Below are 14,569 nucleotides of genomic sequence, written 5' to 3' on the forward strand. Positions count from 1 at the left end.
TCTTGGATTTTAGATACTGTTATTATGAACATTTTTCAGAATTGTATTGCATATTTAGTTTAACAGTCTATATGAATTAAAGGAAATCAAAGTCCAGATAATAGCACAGATTTGAAGTGCTAGAGATTACTTTTTCCTTTAAAGTTACTTTAAGTTTTTCTTTTTAAATTGCTTTAGTTCATAGTTGAAGTCCAAAGTACACAAATCCCCATATCAAAAAGCTTAAAATTGAAGTCATCTAACTTAGTTTTAAAATTCTAACATTACTGTATTTGTAAACCAGCACCGAATTGCCATTAAGTTTCTTACAGTTCATGTTTCTGTATACATCTTTTTTTGTGATCTGACTTATTTTATTTTGCTTTATATTAGAATTTTTTAAACTCGAATGTTAGATCTTTTTCTGCTTTATTTCTGCCTCTTGTTTAACCTTTTCCTAGGTAGAACATGGAGATTAGTTTTTTAAGTTAACCTTAAAAAAAAAATAGGCTGGGTGCGGTGGCTCACGTCTGTAATCCCAGCACTTTGGGAGGCTGAGATGGGCAGATCACCTAAGGTCAGGAGACCAGCCTGGCCAACCATGGTCAATGTGGCAAAACCCTGTCTCTACTAAAAATACAAAAATTAGCTGGGCGCAATGGCGGGCGCCTATAATCCCCAGCTACTCGGGAGGCTGAGACAGGAGAATCTCTTGAATCTGGGAGGCGGAGGTTGCAGTGAGCTGAGATCGCACCACTGTACTACAGCCTGGGCAACAGAACGAGACTCTGTCTCAAAAACAAAAACAAACAACAACAACAAAACAAACAAAAACACCAAACAGGCCAGGTGCAGCGGCTCACGCCTGTAATCCCAGCACTTTGGGAGGCCGAGGTGGGCGGATCATGAGGTCAGGAGTTCAAGACCAGCCTGACCAACATGGAGAAGCCCTGTCTCTACAAAAAATACAAAAATTAGCTGGACGTGGTGGCACATACCTGTAATCCCAGCTACTTGGGAGGCTGAGGTGGGAAAATCTCTTGAACCCGGGAGGCAGAGGTTGCGGTGAGCCGAGATCGCACCACTGCACTCCAGCCTGGGCAACAAGAGCGAAACTCCATCTCAAAACAAAAAACAAAACACCAAACCGATATCATCATAATAGTTATAAGCCTTCGTGAAATTCTTGGTTGCATTTTGTCCTTATTGCTCGCTGACTTTGTTTTTCCCACTGCTTAGCTTTGCTGGTCCATTTGTCCCTGTGTTTTCCATTTGCATTCAGGCCTTTGACTCTTGTGTGCATCTCTGCCCTTGTGGAACTTTGATGATTATTTTATTTTATTTTTTTATTTAAGTTCTAGGATACATGTGCACAACGCGCAGGTTTGTTACATACGTATACATGTGCCATGTTGGTGTGCTGCACCCATTAACTCGTCATTTACATTAAGTATATCTCCTAATGCTATCCCTCCCCCCTCCCCCCACCCCATGGCAGGCCCTGGTGTGGGATGTTCCCCTTCCTGTGTCCAAGTGTTCTCATTGTTCAGTTCAGAACTTTGATTATTTTAGCCTCTCTGAGCCTTGAAATATTTTCTTGCCCTCACATTGAAGTCACTTTAACTTTTGTTGTGAAAGCTTCGTATAGATTCTCTCAAGCGTTTCCTCTTTGATCCTTTATTCTCATCTTAGCACGTTGTAGTTTATAACCACCTGTTTCTGTCTTGATAGTAGCATCCTAGTCTTCAGTGGACCCCCCCCATATATATATATAATGGTTAACTGTATCTTCTATATTTTTATTATAAAATAAAAGGTACAGAAAGCTGCCTAAAACAAACTGTATAGTGAACTATTAAGACAAACAGCCTTGCCTCTGTATTTCAGCTGTGCCTTGTCCTGTAGCTGCTGGCCGCCTCACATCACAGATTGGTGTGGCTGCCTTTATTTTATTTATACACACCAAAACCAAAGATGGTCAATATGCCTTTCTTTTTTTTGTTTTTTGAGATGGGGTCTTACTCTGTCAGCCAGGCTGGAGTGCAGTGGCGCAGTCTCGGCTCACTTTAACTTCTGCCTCCTGGGTTCAAGTGATTCTCTTGTCTAAGCCTCCTGAGTAGATGGGACTACAGGCACGTGCCACCGCACCTGGCTAATTTTTGTATTTTTAGTAGAGACACGGGGTTTGCCATATTGGCCAGGCTGGTCTTGAGCTCCAGACCTCAAGTGATCCACCTGCCTTGGCCTCCCGAAGTGCTGGGTTACCTGTGAGCCACTGCGCCCAGCCAATATGCCTTTCTTTTAAATTGCCAACTAGAGTGTGACAAGAAAGCCTTTGGCCTCTCGTTTGATCAGGTTTCTTGAAGAAGCTTTTCGTGAAAGATAGAGTGGTAGTTATTTATGTTTCAGAGACTTTTAAAAAATCCATACACAAGTCTTTCAGGATCTTCTCATTCCTTTTTTAGTTATTTCTTTTAAAAAGTAGTCTGATATCTTACCTTACAGGTTGGAGACCCTGATGGATTCTGCATCGTTTTAGGATTTGCCTCTGATTCTTGCTAGTGTTCTCTTTTCTGTCATTATGGGGTTTGCCCCGTTTTCTCTAATGTGCTATTCCTGTGTTTTGGTTTTGAGTTCTTGGTTGCATGTGACCTGACTGCTTCTGGAGACAGTACAGTGCTTGTCGTCTCTCAGCTGCTGCTTCTGTGTCTCAGGAGGGCTGAGGGCTGCCCTCCCTCGGGAGCCTCCGTGCTTCCTCAGGCTTTGCTCTTTGTTCTGTACCTCTCTTCACGTTACCTTTGGGTGGTGGTTTTCATTCCTGTGCCGCCTGCTTCTGGGCCAGTGATCCAGGTGTCTGGTGACCACCCGGGCACAGCTGCTTGGCTGCTGTGGGCACCTCAGCTTCCCATGTCCTGTAGGGAACTCACCCACCGGCCTTGCTCTCCACACCTCTTACTCCTGTGTCCCCTTTCTCGGGGATGCTGCCCCCTCCTGCTGTCCTGTCCTCTGTTAGGGGTGAATCTTGAATCCATCTTATCTCTTACTCTCCCTCCCTCTCCCAGCTCAGTCGGGCTCTCACCCTCTGTGACCCACCTCACAACTTCACCTGTTTCATTGCACTTTGCATCCGACCTCGCCTTCATTCCTTAGTTGTCTGGAAATGCTCCAGGCCTCTGCTGCTTCTCACCTCATTCCCCAGAAACAGTCAGGTTCTGTCTCTTACCAGAGGTAACTGAGCTGCTGCTGGCCTCATAGCTCCTGTCGCCCTCACTGCGGGTTTGGTTTTCCTCTTATCACAGTGGTCTGAAGTGCTTGGATAGTCTAGGACATCCAGCCCCCTCCCCAGACAGGGACTCCTTAGGGCGTCTCTGCTCCCAGGCTGGCCTTGGCCCTTCTGGGGTGCTCAGGAAATGGGTATGCTGTGTGTGGGCAGTGGTTGGCTTTAACACTAGTCATCATGTGTAAGGTGATTTGAATAAGTCTAAGGAAAATTGCACTTATTTTTGGTGTATTTTCTTTCAGGGTTATTTTGGAGCTGTTGGAGCACTCCTTGAGCTGTTGAAGATCCCGTGATCATTACCTGGGGAGGGGTTCCTGAAACCTTCCACAATGGGATCTGTGGACTTTCATTTTTTTAAGAGACTTACTCAATTTCATGACTGTACTACCTGAAACAAAGTGAGAAAGGACAGGTGTATTTTTCTAAGTCATCAAGATAAATCCTTAAGAATTCAGTCTAAATTAGCAACCAGGAAGGAAAAATATATTAAAAACAACAAAAAAGTGGCACATGTCCAGGCAGTGTGAGGATTTGCTGTATATAAGTTGCCTGCTTTGTATTTTTGAAATCTCTGCATCACTCATTGGAAGTGCTTCTGAAGAGAGCTGCTCTGTGTTCAGTTGACTGGTTTTGTGTCCTGTTTGAACTTGCTGAATGTAAGGCAGGCTACTATGCGTTATAATCTAATCACAATTTGTCAATATGGTCTTGGCAATCATCTGTGCATTACTCTGGTTTGCATTAAGCCTGTGTGTGAACTTACTGTAAAACATGTTTTATTTCAAGGTTCTGCAAAATTAATTGGGCAGGTTAATTGTGTACCTGAAACTTAACAAGCAGTTTTTGGAAGGGCAGTTCCACGTTACTTTACACTAAATCCTGGGAATGAATGTCTGGAGAGACAGGGCTTCTTTTCTTGGCAGAATTTCCTTGGGTAGTGGGCGGACTGTTCTGATGCAAGTGGGTACACTGGCAGAAGCAGCACAATCTGGAGGACTAACATGAGTCAGCAGGGCCACTAGAATTGACACCCCCTCAGGGGATCAGGGAGAATCTGGTTTTTCTTTCAGGCTAAGTAGAAAAGGAAGAACTGAAGTGTCTGTCAAAGAACTCATGGGGAGTGGGGGGTCCTTCAGGGCACTGTGGCACTTGGGAGGTGAGTCTCAGAAGACTGCCTGAGGAGAGTGCCAGGCTGCAGGTGCTCTTGGTAGGGGCTGAAGCTTTTCTTTCTGCTTTGCAGAATAATTTCAAAAGCCTTTCCCAAGGAGAGAATGCACCTTTTATATCTGAGGTCTTAAGTGGTGCCCATATTGCTGTTGAAGGCAAGGATGGGCCTGTACAAAGCAGCCTTGGACCAGGAGGGAAAACCCCAAGGCTCTGCAGCCTCCCTGCTCCCCTCCGTTTAAGGCTGTGGTCAGGGAGGGATGGGCAGGGTGCCAGCCGCATGGAGGCAGCAGAGACACCCGTGTTCCAGCTGGGGCAAGGGGAACTGATATGTGGGCTGTGGGCTGTTCCACTAGGCGTGGCCACCTCTGCACATGGGCCTTGGCACTTAGGAAATATGGGTGCTGCTGCATTGGGACCTTGTGTGGGTGCAGAGCAGGATGGCTGCTGCGTGGAGGGTAATTTTGTCCCCTGGAGAGTGATTGGTGACCCTCTTCCCTGCTGCTGCTGTTTGCAGGCTCCTGGCCTATACTACCTCTGACGCCCTGATCCTGAGTTCCTCTGCCCTCCTCTGCTGCCAGCAGCGCTGTTGGTGGCCTCACCCTCCTCCAGTACCCAGGCACCAAAGATGGCACCACCATCCTCCTGCTTGTACCACAGGGTGCTGCTCCCTGGGCCAACTCCTGTGAACTTGCTCACTTCCCATGGAGACCGAGGCCAGGGCCTGCCCCTCTGAGGCCCCTGTTTTGTGGTCCTGCTGCCTCTGCTGTGCTGCGTTCAGGAGGTTGTCCACTGCTCGACGTGGGTCACCATGCAGCCCTTGCTGTTCCCACAATTTAACAGAAAAGGAAACTGAACGGATGAGTAAGGCTGCCCAGGGTCACTCAGCTGGAAAAGAGTAGAGCTGGACTCAAACCCGGGACTGTCTGTCTCTGGTGCCTGAGTTGGGAAGACGCTGTTGATGTCCCCTTCTGCCTCGCTTTGAGCTTCCTCCTCCGTGGGCCCTCCCCCTACTCTAGAGAAACTAGTCCATTCCCTCATGTTCCACCTTGTGCTCAGTAAACCCTGTCACTCCACAGCAGGGTTTTTGAGACAGTCTCGCTGTGTCACCCAGGTGGAGTGCAGTGGGGCGATCTCAGCTCACTGCAACCTCTGCCTTCCAGGCTCAAGCAATTCTCCTGCCTTAGCCTCCTGCGTAGCTGAGACTACAGGCATGTGCCACCATGGCTGGCTAATTTTTATATTTTTAGTAGAGATGGGGTTTCACCATGATGGCCAGGCTGGTCTCGAACTCCAGACCCCAGGTGATCCGCCTGCCTTGGCCTCCCAAAGTGCTGGGAATACAGGTGTGAGCCCCTGCGCCCGGCTCACAGCAGGGTTCTTGATAGGCCACCAGTGAATCCCATGCCACCGAATCTGGCATTCATTTCACAGCCTCATCTCAGTTCTCACTCAGCAGAGCCCTCTTGCCTGTCCTGCCACCCAGGCTACTAATGTTCTGGTTCATTCTCTGCTGACAGTTAGCTGTGGCTGTCCTCAGCCTCAGTCCTGGGTCTCCCCAAGCAGTCATTAGCATCACCTTGACTGATTTCCAGGGAACACTTCAACCACCCCTTACCTCTGAGCTCCAGCCCCGAGACACTGCCTTCTCTCTGCATTTGTTGATCTCTGTGCAGCAGTGCCCACATCCTCATCCCAGCTTACTGCCGTCTCACCACCTTCAGGTTGTGAGGTGCCCATAAACTCTGCTGTTACCATTGCCACTTCCCTGTCTTAGCAGCTGTCCCTTTCAGTCTGCCCTCCACTAGTGGCCATGAAGGGGGCTGTGACCGTGGTCCAGGTGAGAAAGGAAGGCCTGAACTAAGATGGGAGGTGGGTGGCCAGAATGGAGAGGGGAGAAGTGGATGGCCAGAATGGAGAGATGCTTAGAGGGCTGTGTTGGGAAGTGGTGACTGGATACAGGGGAGGGAGGAGAGATACAAGAGGGCACCTGGGCTCATTTGTGGACTACGTGATTTTGAGACTCCAAATAAGCACTGGGTATTTGGGTTGGAGATACAGAGCTGAGAATGATATGCATGTAGGTGGGCAAAGCAAGGGGGATTTCATGAGTTCTAAGGTAGGGTGAGAAAAATAACCGAGAGTTGAGCAGTGACGGAGGAAGCTGCAAAGAAAACGACTGCTCAGGGAGAGGCTGGCCAGGGGCCTGTGGCTCAGGGGACTGAGAAGAGGAGCTCTCTAGGCATCTGAATTGAGGTTGCCCACAATTGGTTGCAAGATCGTGGCTGGCCTTGATGGAAGCTGGGAAGCCACTCGGTCCTAGTGAGGGGTGGTGAGGAGAGCAGCAACGGCCACACAGGAAGGCTTTGGACGTTTTTTCTCCTGACACTAGTTATTTCCAGGCCTGGGATATAGCTAGGGGCTTGGGGTGGGGGCAACTCTTTGCAGGGTGGTGTGGCCTGTGGAGGAAACAGGCTCAGTTCCACTACTTTGGCCAGGTGCAATGGCTCATGCCTGTAATCCCAGCACTTTGGAAGGCCAAGGCGGGTGGATCACCTGAGGTCAGGAGTTCAAGACCAGCCTGGACAACATGGTGAAACCCCGTCTCTACTGAAAATACAAAAATAATTAGCCGGGAATGGTGGTGCGTGCCTGTAATCCCAGGTACTCGAGAGGCTGAGGCAGACAGTTGCTTGAACCTGGGAGGCAGAGGTTGCTGCAGTGAGCCGAGATTGCTGCACTGCACTCCAGCCTGGGTGACAGCAAGACTGTCTCAAAAAAAAAAAAAAAAAAAAATCCGCTATTTCAGGTCACCCTGGTGCTGGCGTTCACGTGGAAGACTGCTTATCTGTATCCAGCTGTTTGCAGAGCTCAGGGAGGCCAGGGGGCTTCAGACTCCACTGTACTCTGCATTCCAGGATTCTCTGTTCTCTGGCTGTGGTGGCCTGACACACTCTTCACCACTGACCCCACCCCCGCTTGCACACTATGCCACAGGAAGGGCAGGGGCTTCCATCACAATCACTCAGTACTAGTTACCAGCTCTGATAGAATTACTCACCTTGAGTTTCCAAGTCTTGCTGAAGGTGCTTGCGTAAGTGGCACATGGATGTTCCCTCTGTTCAAAGGCATATGCACAACACTATTTTTCAAAATTTGCTTTTATTTACACGTTTGAGTCAATTACATGCATGTTTTATTTTTGAGGAGTGATTAGCAAAATGCATTAAAATTTTAAAATAGCAATTAAATATACAAAAATATAGCTTACAAAAAACTGCGAATGTTTAAAAATATTCTGCTGCAGAATTTTTAGTGTACAAAGACGTCTATGAAACCTGAGGTTCAGCATTTCATAAACCTTTTTTTGAGGGAGTTACACAATACCTAGTGAGGAAACCCGAGGGCCAAACTACAAGACGAAAAAGTGCCCCGTTCCTGGCAATGATGTCAGAAGACCAAGAGGCGATAGTTACCAGCAACACTCTAGGAAGACCAGCTGTCACCAGAAGGGAGTTCCTAACACTTGCCACACCTGCTCCCCCGACCGGGGGCCTGGGAGGGAAGGGCAGATGGAGAGGAACGGTGTGCAGTGGGCGTGAGATGCAGATCCACCAGGCTTGGGACTGGCAAAGGGAGCTGAGAAGAGAGTTCCCCCAAAGCACAAACAAGTCTGCTGACACTGGTGGGGCCCTTACAGTCACAGAAGTAAGGACTGGATGGTAAGCCAAAGGTGCTGATGCTTGGTCAAAAAGTGGAGTACATCTTTGCATCTTGTAACAATTTGGGCTCTACAGCTGAATTGGCAAAGTAAGGTTTACTACACAAGCCCCTCTTTTTCTTCTGATATCCCCACTCAAATGGAAGCACACTCCCCAGCACATGGGGATCCCTTATTAATCTTTACTAAAGAACCGTGAACCAGCATTTTCCAGTTATCAACTGGATATTTAGGCATGAATCTGGACATGTCCATCTGCTTAAGAAATCTGCTTAAGAAATCTGTAACAGCTACAGGAAAAGACACACCCAGGGCCAGAGATTCTACAAATGCCAGAAGAGTGGATGTGATAGAGAATTTTTTCTCAAGTTTTGGGTTAGGGCACCAGTTGCAATTTTAATCCAGGGGAGGATCTGGGCTGCTGCTGTAGGGGGCAAGTACACCAGGGAGGTGGGTGTGGACAGAGGCACTGGGCAGCTGCTGGGAAGCGAGGCACAAGTCTGTGCCCCTACTCCCAGGGCTGCCTGGAGGAAGCAGCTCTAACTTTCATCAGCGGGGACAAAAATGAACTTAAACTAAAAAAATTATTGGCCGGGCGCAGTGGCTCACGCCTGTAATCCCAGCACTTTGGGAGGTCAAGGCAGGTGCATCACGAGGTCAGGAGATCGAGACCATCCTGGCTAACACGGTGAAACTCCGTCTGTACTAAAAATACAAAAAATTAGCCGAGCGTGGTGGCGGGCACCTGTTGTCCCAGCTCCCGAGGCGGGAGAATGGCGTGAACCTGGGAGGCGGAGCTTGCAGTGGGCCAAGATCGTGCCACTGCATTCCAGCCTGGGTGACAGAGCGAGACTCCGTCTCAAAAAAAAAAAAAAAAAAAAAAAAAAAAAAAATTGTTGGGGTAATTTCTGTTGTCAAATGGAAAACAAGGCATAAAGGGAAAATTCTGTAGGAAGCATTTTCTTTTCTTGTGTGTTTTTTTGAGACGGAGTCTCGCTCTGTTGCCCAGGCTGGAGTGCAGTGGGGATCTTGGCTCACTGCAACTTCTGTCTCCCGGGTTCAATCAATTCTCCTGTCCCAGCCTCCTGAGTGGCTGGGATTACAGGCATGCGTCACCACACCCGGCAAATTTTTGTATTTTTAGTAGAGGGGGTTTCACCATATTGGTCAGGCTGGTCTTGAACTCTTGACCTAAGGTGATCCGCCTGCCTCGGCCTCCCAAAGTGCTGGGATGTTGGGATTACAGGCGTGAGCCATCGCGCCCGACCAGAAGCATTTTCTTTTCAAAGTGTGTGCACAGAGTGAGGAGGCCAGCCTGGGCAACATAGTGAGTTGAGACCTGTCTCTACAAAAAAATAATTACGAAAATTAGCCAGGTGTGCTGGTGTGCACCTGTAGACGCAGCTACAGACTGAGGCGGGAGGATCACTTGAGTCCAGGAAGTTGAGGCTGCAGTGAGCTACAATGGTGCCACTGCACTCCAGTCTGGGTAACAAGACCCTGTCTCAACAACAACGAAAAGTTGGGAGGGAAAGGGAGTAGCTCCATGAACTGACGCTGGACATTCAGGCATATCCACATGAGACTCACTGTGCACTTGCTCAGTAGCTAAGATGTCTGCCCCACAAAATAGAAGCCTTCAGTTGCTGCTGCTCAAACTCCTGCATCAAAGACACAAGAGCTTGCCTAAGTGACCACAACAGTTGCAGCCACACATCACCACTGGTCCTCACTTGGAACTGGCCAAGGTAGGGGAGGGGCCAGCAGCTGTCCAGGCACCTGCAGAGGCTGCTCAGAGCTGGGAGAGGCCTGTGCCACTGCTGTCAGCTACAGAGCCTGATCTTGAGCATCCTGTCGCAGATAGAAAGTCAATCAGAAAAATCTGGTTGTGCTCTTGGATTAGCTGGGCATTTGGGGTAAGGGAGGGACTGCAGATTCTGATTTGTACAGAAAACTAAAATTTCAGTATGTTGCAATAAAATGAAAATATGTCTTACTCAACAGGAGTGTGATTGCAAAAACATCCCCCAATTCTGGGTTCACATTTTGTATTCTGATTTCTGGGATGGCTCTTCCCACATTAGTAGGAGCGTTCCTTGAATACACTTGTCTGGTATCACATGAGTAGAAAAGGAGAAAAATTATATAGACACACATACACATGTGTGTACATGCATAAATGATCTCTGGAAGGATACCCAAGGAACAAACCAATAGTAGGTATTCATGGAGTGAGGAGCGGAGCTTGCTAGGCATCAGGAACTCAAGAAAGGCTTTTAACTACTTTATGATTTGTGAACCACATGAATGGATTACCTATTCAAAACATTAAGAAAGAAATATTCAGCACTGAACAACCAAGTCAGAGTTCACTGTGGGCAAAGGCAGAGATGACCAAGGAAGAAAGGGGCCAGGTGAACCTGGGCCTCAGGGAAAGCCCCTACAGCTCAGGAAGCTTTTTGGCTGAGGTTCTGTTCCTATCAATCATGATGGCAGAGGAGCCCATGTAACCCAGATGATGTTATGTGGTATCAGCAGCCCCCATGACACCAGGCCTGCTGCCTACCAGGCTCTGGGCACCAGCTAACCCCCACAAGAGGTGCCAGGGACGTTACTACAATCCCTGGGTGGTAGCTAAGGAAGCTAAGGAAGAGACTGAGAGGCTAACCTGCAGAAGGGCCTAAGGCTAGTGAGTGACAAGAGGTGATTCCATCACTCTCTGCCTGGAGCTCTGGGTATACTGCCCTGGATGTATCAGGATGTATTTCATAATGCCCAAAAAGCCTCTGAGAAAAATAATTCCTAGTTGTTCAAAGTAGCTTAGAGCGGGATCAGGCCAGGGAGATGACATGATTTTGAAGTGGGGTTGTGAAAAAGGACAAGGCCCGAGGCTATTTCTCTGATGGATCCAAGGGGCTTGGCACTGGGGAAAAGGATCTTCTTGTCAAGAACAGGGTATCCGGCAATGGTGGGAGGTCCCCTGTATCCCTCAGCTCAGACCTTCCCAGGGGCCACCTGCCCCTATTTGGCCATTTCTGTCCTGCCTTCCCTGGCTAGGCAAGCATAGGCTTCAAGGACCTTATCTGCCAGGGACAGGCCTAACCAAATCACACGTGGCAAAGAAAAGCAGCAGATGTCAACTTCCTAGTGTCTGATACTGACCCAACCAGGAATCAAGTCAGGCTGGTTTTGTTCCCTGTTTCTGAAGGCAGTTGAATTCAGTTGTACCCCTAGCAACTACTAATGGTTCAGCCACCCGTGGAGTCCAGTTGGGGCTGAGTTATGCTCCACTAACCCATAGCAGACCAGCAACATTCTATCTTTGAGCTGCTTAAGAAACACACAAAGGATACCAGCCAGTGGTCCAAGAGCAGACCAGAATCCCCACGCAGCTACACAGTAACAAGTCCCAGCAACTCCTGAAGATAGATGCGGAAAGGGTGACTTTACCATGGGGTTCGAGTCTGAGCCAAGAGAGTTATAAAGGGGTCCCTAACTCATTCCTTTTTCAAAATAAATAAAAAAAGGACTGTCTTTCAAACAAAAACCCTGCGATTTTAATGAGAATTAAAGGAGGATGTAAATTAAAAGGCCTGTTTGTCTGTACAGCAATGCAGATGCGCAGGCCCATCCTGGTGGAGGACCCAGATGCAGGGAGCAAATATTCGGGTTGTGTTGCTAAGAGTCGCAGGAACTACTGCTAGTGATACTAGGCTTGCTGCAGGAGGATGTCACGCTGAGAAAGGGAGATGACTAGGAGCAGAAAAAGTACTCTCACTGTTCCAGCTTCCAGCCCAATCCTAGCAGAATGAATGCATTTTAAAACCAGTCCACATTCACATGTGCTGAGAAGGTTGTTAGTGGTCCCTCATCTGGGCAAAGCAGACCCAAGGTGGTGCTGAGTGCAGAGTGCAGAGCATTCTTGTGCTCTCCTCTCATGGCTGGAACTATCTGGGCTTTGCGCCCTGGTCCAGTGCTACGTATCAACCCCCTCAACATGCCTGTGGCTCTGACACGGGGGGATGAATTAACTTGCCTCTGTTCAAATATACAGACTTGGTGAGGCTGTCTTTTGTTAGTACTGATGCACAGGGACAGAAAAAGCCTGCAACTTTCAGTTGGGAGAATCCTATAAAAGCTGTGAGCAGCAATAATTTGCAGTATTGATCATAGGAAGGGAAAAAACATTCTCTTTCCTATTAGAGCCCCATAACAGAGGTGACATCTGTCCCAAGGCCATTCCATGGAAAATGGTGGCTGCTGGCAATTAGTGAGGCTAGTCCAGAAGCAAGCCTCCTTCTGATATTGGTCACTGAAAACAGCTCACTATAAACGGGGTGTTTTGTGGCATTCAACTCTGTTGTGCTACAAATAGAGAATGCAAAAAGACGGTGAAAGTAGGAGTGCATAAATAGTTTTTTTCATGGGTGCCAGACAGGCTAAGGCTTTCATATAAAAATATTCCTCACTTTCCTCGTCCTGTTTAGGAAGCAGTCCAGTTGGCATACCACGAATAGGTCACACATAGGAAATGGCCTATTTTGACCAACTGGATTTGTAATTTTCCAAACCGGATTCTGTCCAGCACTGTTCTACACTAATGGAAATTTTCCTCCTCATGCCCAGCCATCTGAACCAAGGACAGGTTCCTTCTCCTAAGAGGACAGAGGTTGGATTCCAGAAAAAAATCCTGGAGTCATGCCAAGAGCAGAGTAGCAAAGCTCCCTCCATCCATTCTCCATGTCACGCAGACTGTATTCCTAATGAAAAACTTCCCCCACTCACACCTGTGGGATGGAGTGGAGCAAAGCAGTTGACGAGGAATTGAGGCAGGCGCTCCTAAGATGGAGGGAGGCGGAGAGCAGGGCTGTGGAAAAGAATTTTCCATCTGACCTGCTACTTTCCATAGCTAATTTATACAATATTCACAAATCTTAATGGACTTTGAGTCATTTCTAGAAAAGTTGGACAGAAAGAGCCAAAGAGCAGCATGCGTTTCTCTCCTATAAAGACACTTTCACTTTCAGTTTCGGAAGTCCAAATACTGAGGCACACACCAACGGTGGACAGCCCTGCAGGAGCTTCCTGAAACTATCTACAATTCCAAGTGGATCACCAGCTTCAGAATTACACAGGGATCTTATTTGGGATAAAGTGTTAAAAAGTGAATGACAGGCTTTTTTTTTTTTTTTTTTTTTTTTCTGAAGTAGAAAGAGAGATAGGGCAAGAGAGAGAAGAGATGGAAGGAGGGGGAGAGGCCAAAGGGTCGGCATTCCCTTCATCCAGCCGGGCCAGAAGTATGGGCCATTCTCAAAAAGCCACTGCTCTTTGGAGCCACTCGAGAGGTTCACAGTGGCTCCCTTCTGAGGCAGTGGCAGTGGGCTCACAGCAGCTACACTGGAACCACAGTGCACATGTGGGGATGTGGGCAGCCTCCTGGATCACTCAGGGACAGTGTGGACTCAGGGCCCACTCCCTGCTGGGGCTCTGGACGGGCCTTACTGGTGCATAGGAGAGGGAAATGATAAGAGGAAATGGCTTCTGACTAGGCCTTTCCAAGCGCATCTCATGTTTTCAGCTTAGATGATTTGATAGCAGGTGTTGTAATCCTGAGGGGGAAATGGGTGACGAGGAACACTGCTACTCAAAGCCAAGATGGCCTTATCAAAGGCATACAACATGAGCCTTGTGGGCACTGCCTCACCAACCACTGGTGGCTGGTTGTGCTGGTTTTACTTGGCTCAAGGGCTGCTGGGAAGGTTTGCTGCGACAAAGGCCTGCATGGCCTACAGAGAAACCCATCCATCCGCAGGTGGGGGTGTGGCTTGAAAGACCTGCTCTTAGTTCCCTTCTTTACCCTCCTGCTTGACATGGAGATGAGGCTCCAGGAGAGAGAGTGTAATGGAGTTAGTAAGAGACCCTCATGAAGTTTCTTGAGGCAAACCCGCAGGCTCATCCACTCCTCTTCTCTCGGCAGGGGGTAGTGTCAAAGTGCTTTGGTTGTCACAAGACCCAGACACCTAGGTTCCCAGTTTGGCTGGCCCAAGAGTTCTTCATGAGGCAAAAGAAGTGGCAGCTGGTGTCCTAGGTAGAGAGCAGCCATACAGACACCACATGTGTTCCTCCTGGCTCCACACAGACGTCGTGTCCAGCAACAGTCTGATCCTTGCGGTAAGCTATACAATGTTCTCTGCCCCAGGAAGGGGCCCCTGAGGGGGTCCACGGTCCTGCTTACTGTGCAACTGGGCCAGCTGTAGAACTGGCATGTTGCACAGGGGACACACTTTACGAACCTCCAGCCACTTAATAAGGCACCTGCAGAAGGAGACACCACAGGGGGAAGATGTCAGTCCTATGCTCATGGCACGGCTGTTCTGCTGAACATCTCCATATCTGTCACCCAGACAACGTCTGCTGTATGGTCC

General features: G+C 48.4%; 2 protein-coding genes across 16 annotated transcripts in view, besides 2 other annotated features; one reads left to right on the plus strand and one right to left on the minus strand.

Annotated features, from left to right (window-relative positions):
• PANK2 (pantothenate kinase 2) overlaps positions 1-10,145 on the plus strand; it is a 41,107-nt gene extending 30,962 nt beyond the window's left edge. For all 7 annotated transcript variants that reach the window (NR_136715.2, NM_024960.6, NM_153638.4 and 4 more), the window contains one exon: positions 3,502-10,145. Coding sequence is in view for 6 of the 7 variants with exons in the window: in NM_024960.6 (NP_079236.3) it covers positions 3,502-3,552 (51 nt within the window). In the remaining variant the exon portion in view is untranslated. The remainder of the gene's footprint in view (positions 1-3,501) is intronic.
• Positions 6,294-6,463: an enhancer, noted in NCBI's record as "experimental_60114 CRE fragment used in MPRA reporter constructs". NCBI's record gives its function as "activates a minimal promoter by MPRAs in K562 erythroleukemia cells, with activity observed for both the introgressed and non-introgressed 20:3906768 variant alleles {active_cell/tissue: K562}" and the evidence as "EXISTENCE:reporter gene assay evidence [ECO:0000049][PMID:34662402]".
• RNF24 (ring finger protein 24) overlaps positions 7,569-14,569 on the minus strand; it is an 88,248-nt gene continuing 81,247 nt past the window's right edge. For all 9 annotated transcript variants that reach the window (NM_001134337.3, NM_001134338.3, XM_011529146.3 and 6 more), the window contains one exon: positions 7,569-14,459. In NM_001134337.3, coding sequence (NP_001127809.1) covers positions 14,321-14,459 — 139 coding nt within the window. In that variant the 3' untranslated portion in view covers positions 7,569-14,320. The remainder of the gene's footprint in view (positions 14,460-14,569) is intronic.
• Positions 9,932-10,101: an enhancer, noted in NCBI's record as "experimental_60118 CRE fragment used in MPRA reporter constructs". NCBI's record gives its function as "activates a minimal promoter by MPRAs in K562 erythroleukemia cells, with activity observed for both the introgressed and non-introgressed 20:3910406 variant alleles {active_cell/tissue: K562}" and the evidence as "EXISTENCE:reporter gene assay evidence [ECO:0000049][PMID:34662402]".

Source organism: Homo sapiens, chromosome 20 (genome assembly GCF_000001405.40).
Source record: "Homo sapiens chromosome 20, GRCh38.p14 Primary Assembly".
In the NCBI taxonomy this organism is placed as follows: Eukaryota; Metazoa; Chordata; class Mammalia; order Primates; family Hominidae; genus Homo; species Homo sapiens.